The sequence below is a fragment of the Homo sapiens genome, chromosome 4 (assembly GCF_000001405.40).
Source record: "Homo sapiens chromosome 4, GRCh38.p14 Primary Assembly".
Classification (NCBI taxonomy): domain Eukaryota; kingdom Metazoa; phylum Chordata; class Mammalia; order Primates; family Hominidae; genus Homo; species Homo sapiens.
Window position 1 is genome coordinate 88588098 of NC_000004.12, and position 15339 is coordinate 88603436.

The 15339-nt window shown below is 44.1% G+C and overlaps 1 protein-coding gene across 10 annotated transcripts in view, besides 4 other annotated features; it reads left to right on the top strand.

The window, feature by feature from the left end:
• HERC3 (HECT and RLD domain containing E3 ubiquitin protein ligase 3) overlaps window positions 1–15339 on the top strand; it is a 184697-nt gene that overhangs the window by 64255 nt on the left and 105103 nt on the right. For 7 of the 10 annotated variants that reach the window (NM_014606.3, NM_001375480.1, NM_001375478.1 and 4 more), the window contains exons 1-2: window positions 4383–4477; window positions 7460–7517. The gene's annotated coding sequence lies outside the window, so the exon portion shown is untranslated. Of the gene's footprint in view, window positions 1–4382; window positions 4478–7459; window positions 7518–9852; window positions 9991–15339 lie in introns of those variants that run through there. The other 3 variants (NM_001375479.1, NM_001375483.1, NM_001375482.1) reach the window with 3 other exon arrangements.
• Window positions 3889–3948: a silencer, noted in NCBI's record as "silent region_15564". NCBI's record gives its function as "represses an Ori minimal core promoter by ATAC-STARR-seq in GM12878 lymphoblastoid cells {active_cell/tissue: GM12878}" and the evidence as "EXISTENCE:reporter gene assay evidence [ECO:0000049][PMID:35858748]".
• Window positions 4119–4678: a silencer, noted in NCBI's record as "silent region_15565". NCBI's record gives its function as "represses an Ori minimal core promoter by ATAC-STARR-seq in GM12878 lymphoblastoid cells {active_cell/tissue: GM12878}" and the evidence as "EXISTENCE:reporter gene assay evidence [ECO:0000049][PMID:35858748]".
• Window positions 4999–5408: a silencer, noted in NCBI's record as "silent region_15566". NCBI's record gives its function as "represses an Ori minimal core promoter by ATAC-STARR-seq in GM12878 lymphoblastoid cells {active_cell/tissue: GM12878}" and the evidence as "EXISTENCE:reporter gene assay evidence [ECO:0000049][PMID:35858748]".
• Window positions 13014–13704: an enhancer, noted in NCBI's record as "NANOG hESC enhancer chr4:89522262-89522952 (GRCh37/hg19 assembly coordinates)". NCBI's record gives its function as "activates a minimal SCP1, AML or CMV promoter by ChIP-STARR-seq in naive and primed H9 embryonic stem cells {active_cell/tissue: H9 hESC(naive and primed)}" and the evidence as "EXISTENCE:reporter gene assay evidence [ECO:0000049][PMID:30033119]".

Below are 15339 nucleotides of genomic sequence, written 5' to 3' on the forward strand. Positions count from 1 at the left end.
TTCTCATAATTAAGGTAAGATTCTTATGCTTCATCCAAATGGCTTGATAAGAAAAAAATGCAAACAAACCATGAATAGTTTCAAGGAAGATAGAGAAATAATCATAAGGGCTGTAAGCTCTTTGTAGTCAGGAATGATGCTTCTTGTCTAGCAGTACTACAGGTGGAACATATTCAATAATATTAAAAGATTATTTGATGGTAATACTGATTTACCATAATGTTTTTATTCTAAGTTGTTTCATATTAATAAATCAATGCTGTGTGTTACAGGACAGTTTTTAATAAGTTTAGTCTGGGTATAGATAGACTGATTTTTCCATTAAGTACTGACTAGACTGAGAAAGTAAGTACTTCTTTTGGACGTGGGGGACCAAGAAACACCTTTGTCATTACATAACCATACAAGGTACACATACTTTTTACTTGTCAAATAATCAGTCAGTGCTTTTCCCTCCTAAAGATATTTATTCTTCAATGGTGTATCTGAGAGACAGAATGTCCTGGGTAGCCTGTTTTTTTCCACAGATTTCATCCAAGATATCAGAAATCTATCTCTTTCAAAGTTTACCAAGTAAATATTTGTCTGCAAGGCAAGTAAATTAAACAAAGGGAAGAAAGGAAAACAATTATCATTAAACAGTATTACCATTCTATTGAAAAATGGTTTCATTTGAAAATAGATGTATTTTAAGAAGTGAATGGTAACTAATGGAGGAAATCAGCATGTGTTCAGGTAGAAGTGCAGCAGCCCTGGGCACCATCCCCTTGCCACTGGGCATACCTTGTCTAACCAGTGATAGAGCTGAACCACATGGTCCTGTCCCCCTGTCAAAAGTTATGGTTAGTTTAATCCTTGCTCCTCGGGAGGCTAAGGCAGCAGGATTGCTTGAGTCTAGGAGTTTGAAGCCAGCCTGGGCAACATAGCAAGATCCTGTCTCTTAAAAAAAAAGTTATGGTTATATGTGTGTGTGTGTGTGTATGTGCACGCGTGTGTGCGTGTGTGTGTGTGTATTTGGAGTCTCCTCTGTCATCCAGGCTGGAGTGCAGTGGTGCCATCAAAGCTCAATGCAACCTCGAATTCCTATGCTCAAGCTATTCTCTCACCTCAGCCTCCCAAGTAGCTAGGACTAAAGGCGTGCCCCACCATGCCTATTTTTATTTTTTGGAGAGACAGGGACTCACTATGTTGCACAGGCTGGTCTCAAACTCCTGGCCTCAAGCGATGCTCTTGCCTCAGCCTGTAACCCAAAGCCCTGGGATTACAGGGGCATGAGCCTAGAATTTATTAAGCCTTTTATTTTTAACATGAATGTTTTTCTTTTATAAAATTTATACAGGTTAGCAAGTATATATTCCTTGGTACAATTATTTGGTTAATGTTTGTCTCCCCTTTCATGGCAACAAAGACTGTACTGTTTTGCTTACCAATGTATTCACAGGGGCTGACATTATTGTAGGTGCTCAGTATATAGTACGTTTGTTAGAGAATATATGAGAATGCAGAAAGAAATGGATGGAAGACAGGGCTATAGAAATGGAAGGAAAAAGTAAACCATGGCCTCTTCAAAACAGTTTACGTATCTGCTGTTAAGACTATTGCTGATGCTGGAGCCATTTAAAGCCATTTTGAAGCAGGACATGCTTGCTAAGGAAATTGTCATTATATGTTGTCCCAATGAAAAAAAATAAATCGAAGTACTGTGGTATCTTTACTGTTCTATGTAAGTTCTATGTAAGTTCTCAGGGTTTGGCTATTTATTTGGTAAAAGAAGCTTACAGTATCCTAACTTGTTATTTATACATTGCTCCTATCCCATTTCTAGGCTTGAGTCTTTGATAACCATCCTTTTCCTCAAGATGAAATTTCATATGAAAAACACTTGAGCCGGCCGGCACGGAGGCTCACGCCTGTAATCTCAGCACTTTGGGAGGCCGAGGTGGGCAGATGATTTGAGGTCAGGAGTTCTAAACCGGCCTGGCCAACATGGTGAAATCCCGCCTCTACTAAAAGTACAAAAATGAGCCGGGTGTGGTGGTGAGCGCCTGTAATCCCAGCTACTCGGGAGGCTGAGGCAGGAGAATTGCTTGAGCCGGGGAGGTGGATGTTGCAGTGAGCAGAGATCGCGCCACTGCACTCCATCCCAGGCAACTGAGCGAGACTCCTTCTCAAAAAAACAAACTCCGGGCGCGGTGGCTCACGCCTGTAATCCCAGCACTTTGGGAGGCCGAGGTGGGCGGATCACGAGGTCAGGAGATTGAGACCATCCTGGCTAACATGGTGAAACCCCGTCTCTACTGAAAATACAAAAATTAGCCGGGCGTTGTGGTGGGCGCCTGTAGTCCCAGTTACTCAGGAGGCTGCGACAGGAGACTTGCGTGAATCCGGGAGGCGCAGCTTGCAGGGAGCCGAGTTTGCGCCACTGCACTCCAGCCTGGGCGACAGAGCGAGACTCCGTCTCAAAAACAAAAAACAAAAAAACAACAACAAAAAAAGAAAAACACTTGAGCCATGGGCCAGACATATCAACCCAAACACTGATTGATTACAAACCTCATATGTGACACCTAACAATAGGATCTCTCACTTTCTCCTTTGCAAGTACCGGACTCCTTCGTCTTCCTACCAGACTCCTCTTTGGGCATTTAACCAGTTCTTTTGCCAACAGCATCTCTAAATTGGGATTGCATCTTTGTAATAGACTAAACTTTTGTGAAACTGCCACATATCTGGAATATAAGTGAATTGTGTTACTCTTGTCCCCAGTGTTTCTTTTTTCCTTTTTCTTTCTTTTTTTTTTTTTTTTGAGACAACGTTTCATTCTGTTGCCCAGGCTGGAGTAAGTACAGTGGCTTGATTTCAGCTTACTGCAACCTCCGCCTTCCAGGTTCCAGTGATTCTCCTGCCTCAGCCTCCTGAGTAGCTGGGACTACAGGCGCACACCACCCTACTCGGCTAATTTTGGTATTTTTTTTTGTAGAGACAAGGTTTCACCATGTTGGCCAGGCTGGTCTCGAACTGCTGACCTCAAGTGATCCACCGGCTTCGGCCTCCCAAAGTGCCGAGATTACAGGCATGGGCCACCGCGCCTGGCCATCCCCAGTGTTTCTAAACGTGTCAAGTGTGATCCAAATTTCAAAGGTTTGGATTTTTTCTTAGATGACCTGATAACTTAGATTCTGCTTTTTTAGCTTTCTTGTCTCAGTGTACTGGACAATTTGCATTATTTCACGGAGGGCTCAACACTGTCAGTCAGCCAACAACGTCTCATCCCCAGGATACACCACTCCTTGAAACTTTCTTTTCTACTTGGTCAGTCTGTTAGGTTCTCAGGACGAGCGATTGCAGACCTGAGGTGATTTGAATGTCCTTGGTAAGAATCTATCCTCAAAGGGCCTTCCTGCTTCAAATGCCAGGTTATAGAAATTCTTCCACTGGGAGAGTTATTCCTTTGGATTAAAGCAGTACCGTGCCAGTGTTCTGCATTTTACATTTAAGGGGGGCAGACACATGAAGTCACCTTTCTGAGGTTTTCTGCAAAAGATTAGCTGTGGATCAGATCAGGTCTAGGGCAAGTATGAAAGCACTAGTGACCTTGGGGAGGGGGAGGAAGCTCTGGGATTCGGCGCTAGGGAAAAGTGGAAGAGGACAAACTTTTAAAAAATCCGTTACTGGGTATAGGCCACAGAGTGTCTTTCAGATTACAAGATTTTAAGATCTGGTGCTCAGACTCTTCTTGCTATGCTCCCCCCGGGTCCACCCTCCAGCCTCCCCCAGGCCCGCCTTTCTTCCGCAGCCCCGTGCCGGTCTTCGATCCCCACCTCTCCAGAAGAGCGCCGGCGGCTGCCGCGTACCTCCTTCCCCGCCTCTCCCACCGCGCAGCGCCGCGGGCCGGCGCCGCGCTTCCTACAGTCCTACGAAGGGGAGTAAAGCAGAAGACTAGCGCACTCTCCCTCAATTGTCACCCTCCAGCTTTTTCCCCCGTGCCCAAGGCTTTCGGTCACCTCTTCATAAATAATAAAAACCAGAGTCCAGAACCTGAATAGGCAACCGCTGATCGGTCCAGCTCGCTTCCCCGCCAGTGAAAAGCAATCTTATTTCAGCGTCAACGCTCTATGTCTTGCAGTCCGATTTCGGCTGACACACCCGTGCCGCTGTCCCCGCGCCGGGCCCTCGAGTCCTGTCACCTCGGGCAGCCTGCGCCTGGCTCTGGGGCCTGGGCCTCTCCCCTCCTCCTGCCCGCGGACCTTGCCGCCCCGCCTCCAGCCCGTGCCACGGCGGCCGCCATTGGCGCGGGCCCATCCCAGAACGGCGCCCATTGGCCCGGTGCGAAGCCATTCACCCAGCGCATTCCGCCGCCCGCAGGCTTGCGGGGAAACTTCCTTATTATTGTGACGCCGAAAACGGAGAAACCCCGGGTCCGGCGAGAGGGGCTGTGACAGTCGGAGTCCCAAGCTGCGGTTCGGCTGCTGCCGAGGTGCGCAGGGCGGGGGCCGGGGTTCCAGGGAGGGGGGTACGGCGGAGCTGCAGCCGCGCTGGGCCGCGTTCCGCCTGGCACTGCAGTCAGCGCGCGGCTCCCGGAGGGGCGGCTGCGGCTCCTCCCGTGGCTCCGGCGGCGGGGGCTGCAGGCACCTCCAGAGACGACCTGGGTCTGGGGCGCGGGGAGGTTGGGGCGCGGCGCCCTTAGTACCCTGCGTACGCCTCCCTGGCGTTCTCGTGGGCTCGCCCTCCGGTCAGAGAGCCCCGCGCCGGGAAAGGCGAGACAAGCCTTCAAAATGGGAGCGCCTCCCGCCCGCGCTCGGCCGCCCTCCCGCCCTGCCGCCCGGGAGGAATTGCGACGCAGAAAGTCAAAAGGAGGATAGTCCCTATGCTCGCCCCCTGCCCCTATTTAAATTCTGGGGTTCCAGGGACCTCCGTGCAGTGAGGGGCGCGGACGCTTTCAATTGAAATGGGAGCTGGCGAGGCCCTGGCATTTTGGGGAACCTCAGCGGCCGCGAGGAGTTTGCGCCGAGGACGCGGTGCACGGCGTCCGCGATGACAGCGCCGGCAGGGCTGCGGGGCCCGGCACCACCCACTTCGCGGAGGCCGGGCCGGCTCGCCTCTCCCGGGTCCGCCTCCTGGGCGGGGCCGGGGGCGAGGGTGTGTGCGGACACGTGTGTACGGGTGTGTGTGTGTGTGTACGCCGACACGTCGGTGCGGACCGACGCGGGGGTGTCAGGAGCTGGGACGGCCGGGGGCAGGTGAGACTTGAGTCATTTGTGAATGTGTGGAGTGGGCAAACCAGGGCAACCAGACCGAGAGGAGCATGTGTAACCTGAAACAGGTGAGCCTATGGAGACAGTACCTAATGCGACTGTGCACGGAATATGTGTATGCAGCATGAGCTCCAGGGAATAAGTATTTGAACTTTGCTGTTGGTCTGTCACTGTTTCTGGCTGCTTTCTGATTGCATTTTACATCAGCTTTCAAATGAGCTCAATTAGGAAGTACCTAATTCAGAGAAAAGCCTTCCAGGATTTTGCTTGCATTCATCACGCATAGAATGCTTTGGGAAAGACGATTCAAGAGCTCTCTTCCATTTGTATGTGTCTTCTGGCTCTTTCCACAAATAAGAAGCTATTTCTAGAACCTTTTATTTGATGATTAGATAAGATCAAGTGAGCTGATTTTTCAACTCTAGACTTGAGAGAAATGAAAAAATAAAAAGTTTTAAATGCGGTGATCGGGTATCATGTTTTAGTCGGCAGATTACTGTGAAGCTCTCTCCTTTTGTACTTTCCTTTACCCTGGGGGAGGAGGGAGTAGCATTATAAATCAGAAAAGCAAAGTACATGGATTGCATATCCTAAAGCAAAATAATTGAATTACATATTTTACATCATGGTCGTACCGCCTTCGAGGCTAGGAACTTTCTGTAAAAAGTATAATGCAGGGAACAAGGAGGACAGGTTAGAAACCTCTTTGGCAGAACTCCTTTGGCATGAAAAACAAAATTAGCACATTAGCACTAGCATCCAGTTCTTGTTCAGTAAGTAGCTGGAGTTTACTTTTTGAAAAAGAAACAGGGATTTCAGAATGTTCCATGTTGTGTGCTTGAAGCCATTCGTTATAGCATTTCATTCTGAAGACCAAATTTAAATTTCTTAAGATTTGTATGACCAATTAAAAACTTTTTTTATACTTAATGAGAGTAGTAGTACCCCTACTGGAGACACAAGATAGTTATGCTTCAGTTTTATAAGTAAAAGTACTATTCTCCAGATCGAATGGGATTTTCTGCATAGAGAGGTAGAAATAAAGTTATGACAATATCTTTTCTTTCGAGATGGGGGGTCTCGCTCTGTTGCACAGGCTGGAGTGCACTGGTGCGATCTCGGCTCACTGCAACCTCCGCCTCCCAGGCTCAAGCGAATCTGCCACCTTACCCTCCAAAGTAGCTGGGACCACAGGCGTGCACCACCATGCCCAGCTAATTTTTTGTAGTTTTTGGTTTCGCCAAAAGACGAAACGGGGTTTTGCCATGTTGCTCAGGCTGATCTCCAACCCCTGGGCTCAGGCTGTCCACCCGCCTGGGCCTCCTAAAGTGCTTGACAAAAATATCTTAAAATCATGGAGGACTTTTTCTTTTGAGATACTTTAGGTATCTCTCTGAGATGATCTCTTCTCATTTTGCATGATGGAGGATGTGGTAATGAAAAGGGAAAGACCGGGTGCAGTGACTGGCTGGGCGCAGTGGCTCACACCTGTAATCCCAGCACTTTGGGCGGCTTGAGACGGGTGGATCACTTGAGGTCAGGAGTTGGAGACCAGCCTGACCAACATGGTGAAACCCCTTCTCTACTAAAAATAGAAAAATTAGCTGGGCGTGGTGGCGGGCGCCTGTAATTCCAGCTACTTGGGAGGCTGAGGCAGGAGAATCGCTTGAACCTGGGAGGCAGAGGTTGCAGTGAGCCGAGATCGGCCACTGCACTCCAGCCTGGGTGAAAGAGCCAGACTCTGTCTCAAAAAAAAAAAAAAAAAAAAAAAGAAAAGGAATGAAAGGAGACAGTCTTCATAACAGTTGTGGCAAAACAAGCTGCTATGTGTCATACATGGAAAAATAAAGAAAATAGACAAAATTTAATTATTTTCCAAAATTTTCTCTAACAAAAATGGGAGATTTTAAAGTAATTCCATTTTTACTACTCCCTATCAAATGTCAGGAATTTTTATAAGGTGATATCTATATCTCTAGTTCACTTTTAGAGGTGATTGATGTCTTTATAACTGGTTAGAGGTTATCTTACTGGTATTTAACCAAACTCCTGTCTTGAGATACAATGCGTGGGGAATATTCAAGATTGAGTAATTTAAAGATATTCTTATTTTCAGAGGTTAACTCCTGTCTTTTTGTTTACAGTAACATGAAGACACAACAGAGTTCCATACTAATGTTATTTATTATTTCTTTAACTTGCAGAACTGCAAGGTGTGGAATATTTCTGGCTTCTAGTCCAATGCCAAGTGTGTGACCTGTGGTGAGTTACTTAATTTTTCTGGACCTCAGTTTTTCATCTTGTAAATGGAGTCCTTTACATGCATTATCCTGTTTAATACTCTCATCAACTCAAGCTAGGGTAGCTACCTAGAGAGGGACCTAAACAAATCTCAGTGCCTTCCTGCTGCTCTAAGATAGTGAAGAGAACAAGGTGAGCCCAAGAAGTAGGAGACCTGGTTTCTGGTCTCTGCTTCAAGCACTTAATTCTTTTTTTTTTTTTTTTTTTTTTTTTTTGAGAGGGAGTCTGGCTGTCGCCCACGCTGGAGTGCAGTGGCGGGATCTCGGCTCACTGCAGGCTCCGCCCCCCGGGGTTCATGCCATTCTCCTGCCTCAGCCTCCCGAGTAGCTGGGACTACAGGTGCCCACCACCTCGCCCAGCTAATTTTTTGTATTTTTAGTAGAGACGGGGTTTCACTGTGTTAGCCAGGATGGTCTTGATCTCCTGACCTCGTGATCCGCCTGCCTCGGCCTTCCAAAGTGTTAGGATTACAGGCGTGAGCCACCGCGCCTGGCCAAGCACTTAATTCTTAGTGGACCAAAGTTACTTGGCCTCTGAAGGCCTTAGCTGCCATTAAAATGAATTTAGGAATGTAAGTCTTTTGCTTAGAGGTTAGATCAAATGGACTTTTAATAAGGTGGTAAATTTGATAATATAACTCTGTCCCCTTTAGACATTTACTCCATTTAGAAATAGTACTTGTTGGTGGCAGGGACATGTGTTTCTGTGTAAGTGAACTGGTTTTATTATTACTCAGGGTGGGGGATCTTTAACATTATCTGGAAAATAAAAGTGGTTACAAGTTGAGGTGGTGGAAATTCAGGTTTTCTAAGAATGGGGGTCAGTTCACTAGGCATTTATCAAGCCTCTGCTGTGCTCTTGTACTCTGCTGAGAATGGAAGGCACAAAGATGAGTAAAACCTGGTTCCTTCATGGAGAAACTCCCAGTCTGCACGTTGGCAGGGTGTTAGTGGAGGAGGTAGGAGAAGCAGCCATACTGCCTCAACAGCGCTTTGCATTTTTGTTTGTTTTGTGAAGTATTTGTAAGCATAAAATAATGCATGTCATATATGTTAAGAAACAACAATAAAAGGACAGAAGCAGAATATCAGCCATGCTATTGAAATGTCTCCCTTTGTGCTCCTTCCAGATTGTTCCCTCTATTCCTACTGCCTCCACAATCATTACCCGCTATTTTGTGTTTGTGATTTGCTTTTCTTCATAGCTTTGTTACCACTGATGATTCTTAATCTCCAAATAATATATTTGTTATAGTTGTGTTTGAATTTTGTAAAAATGCATCATACTCTGAATTCTTCTGTGACTCAACACTTTTTAAGATTTAGTTACAATGATGCTTATAGATGGAGTTTATTTTTTACTGCTGTACAGTGTTCTGTTTTATGCATGTGCCACACTATCTGTTTTCTTATTGATGGATATTTGTTTTTTGTTTTTTTCCTATTTCAAATAATGCTGGAATGAACATTCTTATACGTGTATCTTGGTGCATATGTTCATGAGTTTCTCACTGCATTGGACTGTAAGATAGCCACTAGTCACCTAGGGCTACTTACATTAAAATTTATTAAAATAAAATATTAACTATTTCAGTTCTTCACTTGTATTAGTCACATTTCAAGTACTCAATAGCCACATATACCTACTGGCTACCATAGTGGACAGTGCAAATATATAGCATTTCCATTATCACAGAAAGTTCCAAGTTTCCAGATTTTACTCATCTTTGTATCTCCATTTATTAGTATAGTACAGGAGCACCATAGATGCTTAATAAGTTGGATAATGCTGGTCATATGCCCAGCAGTGAAATTACTGTGTGGGGAGGTATCCACATCTTCATCTTCACTGGAGAATGCCAACTTGTTTTGCCAAGTGCTTATGCCAGTTTATATTCCCACCAGCTGTCTATGAGGGCCCTGGCTGTTGTATATCCTTGACTTGGTATTGTTAGACTTTTCAATTCTTGCCAGTCTCGTTGGTGTCTTTTGAAGGCAGTCCACAGCTTAAGCAGACTGCAGAGAAGTCATTCTTCCAGCTTCACAAAGCCTAGCACCAGGTAGTGAAGAAGGCACCACCTTAGAGGGGATGATCCGGGGAAGGGTAGGAGTGTTTCCTGTGTTGGCTGAGGGGGTCAGAGGACCAAAGTCCAGCTAAAGTGGAGGAGAGAGAAAACAGCAAGGAGTGGATTCACGTTGTTGAAAACTTCTCTTTGCCTTCTATGACATTTCTGTCTTTGGTAGGAACATTTTTGATAATAAGGCAAGTCATTAAAATGAATCTTCTTTGTTACCAGAGTTAATTCTGCATTTTAGTTTTGGCCCTACATTTATTTAAAGCCTGAATTTGGGGAGTATCTGCAAAGCACTGAAGGTTTTGGACATTGTCTTTTCCTGCTGTTGAAAGAGACCCTCTTCATATATACAACATTCAGGTAATTGCTTCTAAGCTTACTTGAAAGGAAGCTTATCCCTATTTTAAATGAGATTAGAAGTCCTGCCTGAGTGTTATTTTGGTCTCAGTGCCTTTCAAACAAAGGGATAAGAATGAGTTGTTAGGCTGCTGTGTGCATAGTCGCATAGTCTTATCATAAGACAAAGTTTAGGAACTGAAGGTTGTCGTTTAGCATTCAACTCACTAGAGCTAGTAAAAAGAGATTTATCTCCCCACCGCCCTCCACCCATGCCCTCTCCAGAATTTAAAAGCAAATGCACACAAAAAAACTTCCTCCTATCAACCTCAAATCCCTTTCATGAAAGTTATGGCAGATGGTTGTGATGCTACTTTGCTGTAGTGCAGATTTGGCAGAATGCAGCTAGTGCTAATTGCAGTGAGGAAGACAGGAGTCACAATCCCATCCTCTTTTGGGAATTGTCCTGTCTGCTGAAATCTCAAAGAAGAGCACTAGGAGTAGGAGTAACATTGACTAAAGCAGCTGACATTTACTGGTCACTTACTACTACATGCCAGGCACCATGCTAAGCCCTTTTTACATGCATTTTCTCATTAATCCTCACAACACTCTAGCACCTTCTCCTGATTTTGGAGCTTAAGGTGGGTAAACATCTTTCCTCAGGTTTCACAGCTAACGTGGTTAATGTAGGGCTTGGATTTTAGTTCCTTTGACCCTTAAGCTCTGCTAAGATTATCTTGAATCTCTTACCAAGAATAGATGAGAAGGACTCAGGAAAGTGCCAGGTTGACATTGAGAGAAAGTTGTACTTCAAAAGTAGTCCTTCCTTTTGTTTTGTCATGGGGAAATAAGAGGCAGGAAATGCAGCCAAGCGGGGCTGGTGTAGGTGCTGAGGGAAGTGTAGTCCTATATTTTGCAGCGAATTTCATAATTGTGTATTTTGAAGGAAAATAAAAGATTCTGCTCTTCTAGGAGCAAGCAAGAGAGTGAATGAGGAAAAATGGGTGTAAGGACCTTGGAGATCAAAATGCCCAGCGATGCAGACCGTTGCTGAAACTAGACCTTTAAAGTCATGGACATCAGCAGCTACAAGATTTAGGGGTCCAACTGGAGTGTACTTTGAAGTGAAAGCTGTGCTAATGGCTGGCTTCTCTCCAATGTGTTGAACTTCTCTCCTGAAAGCTAGATGATTTTAGTTGCTTTTTTCTTTAGTTCCGGCAGAGCATTGTGATGACCTAGGCCGTATTTATAGTTAGGATTGATAGTTTATTTACAGATACACATCTTTTTTGTGGTTGCTATTTAATTCTCTTGGTGGGCAGTTTTTATTTGACCAATTGAAGATTCCATTACTGTAACTCAGTTGGAAGAATTTTTGAAGTTTTCTTGAACAATAGTCCTTTTTATTATCTTTTTTCATAAATTGTTTTTACTAGTCAGTCAGGGATGAGGCCATACTTCAGGCTGTTTACACAGGATTGTGCTTGGCCAAAGCACCCAGAACTCAGATGACTCTCAAGGACTGACTCGTGCCAGATAAACTACAAAAAAAGCTGATAGACCCAGGACGCCAAATTAATAATGAGAATTAGAAATCCTAATAAGACTGAGATGCTTTGGTTACCTGGTCACAGTATTCTATCCCTGTAGTAGAATCTGCCCTAGAAACCAAGTTATTTAAGGTTGCTTGCTAAGCAAGGCAATTGGTTGGGTGAATTTAGTGACAACTGTTATGGAATCTGATCCACCCATCCACTTTTAGGAAAGAATTACTTAGCGGGTCAGATAGCCAGGTTGACTGATCAGGGTCCCTGTTTTCTCTGGAGAGTGGTGCAGACACATTGGGAAGTCTGGCCTTTTGGTTATCTACTTTCTAAGCTCCTTACTATACAGCACAGCATAGTGTCTCTTTCTTTTCCTTTACTTCATCTTTTTTTTGTTAGTTTCACTTTCTTCATCTGTAAATTAGAGATAATGGCAGTACCTGTCTCATAGAAGATGAAATGAGCCAACATCTGTGAAGCACATAGAAAAGTACCAGACTCAGAGTAAGCTCAAATCAGGTCTTATCTGCTGTTATTATTAATAATGTCATTATTAATATTATCAGTCAGGAGTTTCTTTTTATTGCAAGTGAAAGAAACCTGATTCAAACAAGCATAAATAAATAAGCTTAAGTAAACAAAGAAGGGACTTGTTATACTCTGTATATAGTTAGGTTCTGTAAAGTCATGGTGAATACCATATTAGTGAATACAGAGCCATTGTTTCTGAGGAAATACAGGATTAGGTTCTTGTAGGCTGTGGTCAAGAGATTTTTATCAGCCAGCTGACGCATAACCTTTTTTTATGTGTGTTTCTGTCTAGACAGCCTATTTAATATATATTTCTTACTAATATACACAATATTTCTTGGTAATAAAACACTAGTTGAGAAGGGTTTAACATTTTCTTGACCCTGTGTAATGTGACAGTGTTTTTGGCTTTCAGCCTCACATCAGTGCTATCCACTGTGATTTTTATTTTTTATGGGTTGTCATCTCATGAATCCACAGATTTAATTGCTTTTCCATTGTATCTATAGCTTCATTATGTACTCTGGATATTACTTTAGCTCTCTCCAGGGGAGGCCTCACATACAGATCAGCAGATTTCCTGTTCCATATTTTGGATGTACCCGCTTGTTGATTCATTAACATTGAACTCACAGCCAACACTATAACTCATGCATGAAAGAAACTTACCTAATACACATTTTTTTCTCTGTAAGGCACATCACAACCTTCTTGCACCTAAGAACACTAGAAGGTAGGAGAGATAAGACAAATTTATGAAATACTAAAAACGAAAAAATCCATTAATGTGGATAATAGCAATTGAGCAAGTTGGGAAAAATAAATTATTTCTAGATTATGTGAGCTTGCTGGTCTATTAGTGTATCATTAGACCACCAACCACCACCACCACTACCCTGCCAGTTTTTCATTTTATTTCTACTTCCCTCTCCACAATATTTGTAGTTAATTCAAAGAATAACATTTAATCTTAATACTTTTTTAGTGTAGAGTCTAGACAAGGAATAAAAATCTTGGGAAGAAGCAGAACTTTCTGTGTAAGACAGCAAATTGAGATTCAGTTTTATATTTTATTTTGGGCCTTTTCATGCCTTTCCTGAAAGCCTCAAGAGTTCAAAGCATACCTCAGGATTACAATAAGGCAGTTTTAAAATTGGTATATACCAATTAAGGCCATTGAGTTAAATCCAAAGTACTGTAATTGTTGTCAAGAGAGGTTGAAAGTACGAGCTTCCTCTGTGTTGTAATCTTTAATTTGTAGCCATTTGGGCATGCTTTTATCTTGGGAGAAAAGAGTTTGTCATTTTAAAAGCTGACTTTGCATAGAAGAGCCAATTAGCTGTCTCCTTCATATGTTGACAGTTCTCTCCTGTAGATTGGCTGATATATTCAGCTTTGATGTGTTCGCCTAGTATTATAATTCAAAGTAAGTCTTCACCATTTCTGTTAGAATCCATCCTCTTTTCATTAGGATGAAATGAATGTACCAATGAAAAGATTAGGGAAGACACCTTTGAAGTCTGCAATCTTGTCTTGAAATCCTGATATTTTGACCTGTAGGACCTAGAACAGTGATTCTTAATATGGAGAGACTAGCATGTTTAAGAAGTATGATTAGAAAAGGATATTCAGGGGCCGGGCGCGGTGGCTTACGCCTGTAATCCCAGCACTTTGGGAGGCCGAGGCGGGCGGATCACGAGGTCAGGAGATCGAGACCATCCCGGCTAAAACGGTGAAACCCCGTCTCTACTAAAAATACAAAAAATTAGCCGGGCGTAGTGGCGGGCGCCTGTAGTCCCAGCTACTTGGGAGGCTGAGGCAGGAGAATGGCGTGAACCCGGGAGGCGGAGCTTGCAGTGAGCCGAGATCCCGCCACTGCACTCCAGCCTGGGCGACAGAGCGAGACTCCGTCTCAAAAAAAAAAAAAAAAAAGAAAAGGATATTCAGAATTATAATTAAAATGTATATTTGGAAACCGGCTGGGCTCCGTGGCTCACACCTGTGATCCAAGCACTTTGGGAGGCCAAGGCGGGCTAATTACTTGAGGTCAGGAGTTCAAGACCAGCCTGCCCAACATGGCGAAACCCTGTCTCTACTAAAATACCAAAAAAATAGTGGGGTGTGGTGGCACACGCCTGTAATCCCAGCTACTTGAGAGACTGAGGCAGGAGAATTACTTGAACCTGTGAGGCGTAGGTTGCAGTGAGCTGAGATTGCGCCACTGCACTCCAGCCTGGGAGACAGAGCGAGACTTGGTCTCCAAAAAAAAAAAAAAAAAAAAAAAAGTATGTTTGGAAACTGAAATGTAATCTGAATGTCCTTAAGACCAATCTTCTGCATTGCTTGTTTGTTTTTAAGATGGGTCTCGCTCTATTACCCAGGCTGGAGTGCAGCAGTGCGATCACAGCTCACTGAAACCTTGACCTCCTAGGCTCAAACGATCCTCTCACCCCAGCACCCCAAGTAGCTGGGACTACAGGTGTGTCCTACCACACTTGGCTGATTTTATTTTATTTTTTGTGGAGATAAGGTCTCACTGTGTTGCCCAGGCTGGTCTCAAACTCCTGGGCTTAAGCTGTCCTCTCACCTTGGCCTCCCAAAGTGTTAGGATCACAGGTGTGAGCCACTGTGCCTGGTCACTGTTTTCTTTCATATCCAGATAAAGTGATTCAAACCCAAGGCGATGCTGATTAGAGATTTAGCGTCTTTCTCAAATTTCTAAGAATTTCCGAAGGGAAGAAGAATGTTTAGGTTCTCTTATCATGCCTCATCCAAAACTCTTGCTCAGTTGTCAGTCTTCAGGAGGGGCTCTGAGGGCTTATTTTCAAGGTTCTTTTTATTCATGCTTGGCAAAATACAGTTATTGTAAGGGTGTTGTGTCTTAACTTTGATAGAAGGTTTGGGATTCTCAAAAGTAGTTACAGAACAGGCAACAAGTTCAAACTTGAGTGTTAGACACCACTGTTCTCAAAATTCATCTGCTGTTCTCTGCCACGGAGAATCTACTGTTTACTGGCCAGGTTCCAAACTTGCAGCCATATTACAGGCTTCAATCGCTTTCTCTTTTTTTTTTTTTTTTTTTTGAGGTGGAGTTTTGCTCTTGTTGCCCAGGCTGGAGTGCAGTGGCGCCATCTTGGCTCACTGCAACCTCTGCCTCCTGGGTTCAAGCGATTCTTGTGCCTCAGCCTCCCGAGTAGCTGGGATTATGGGCACCCGCCACCACGCCCCACTAATTTTTGTATTTTTAGTAGAGATGCGGTTTCACCATGTTGGTCAGGCTGGTCTCGAACTCCTT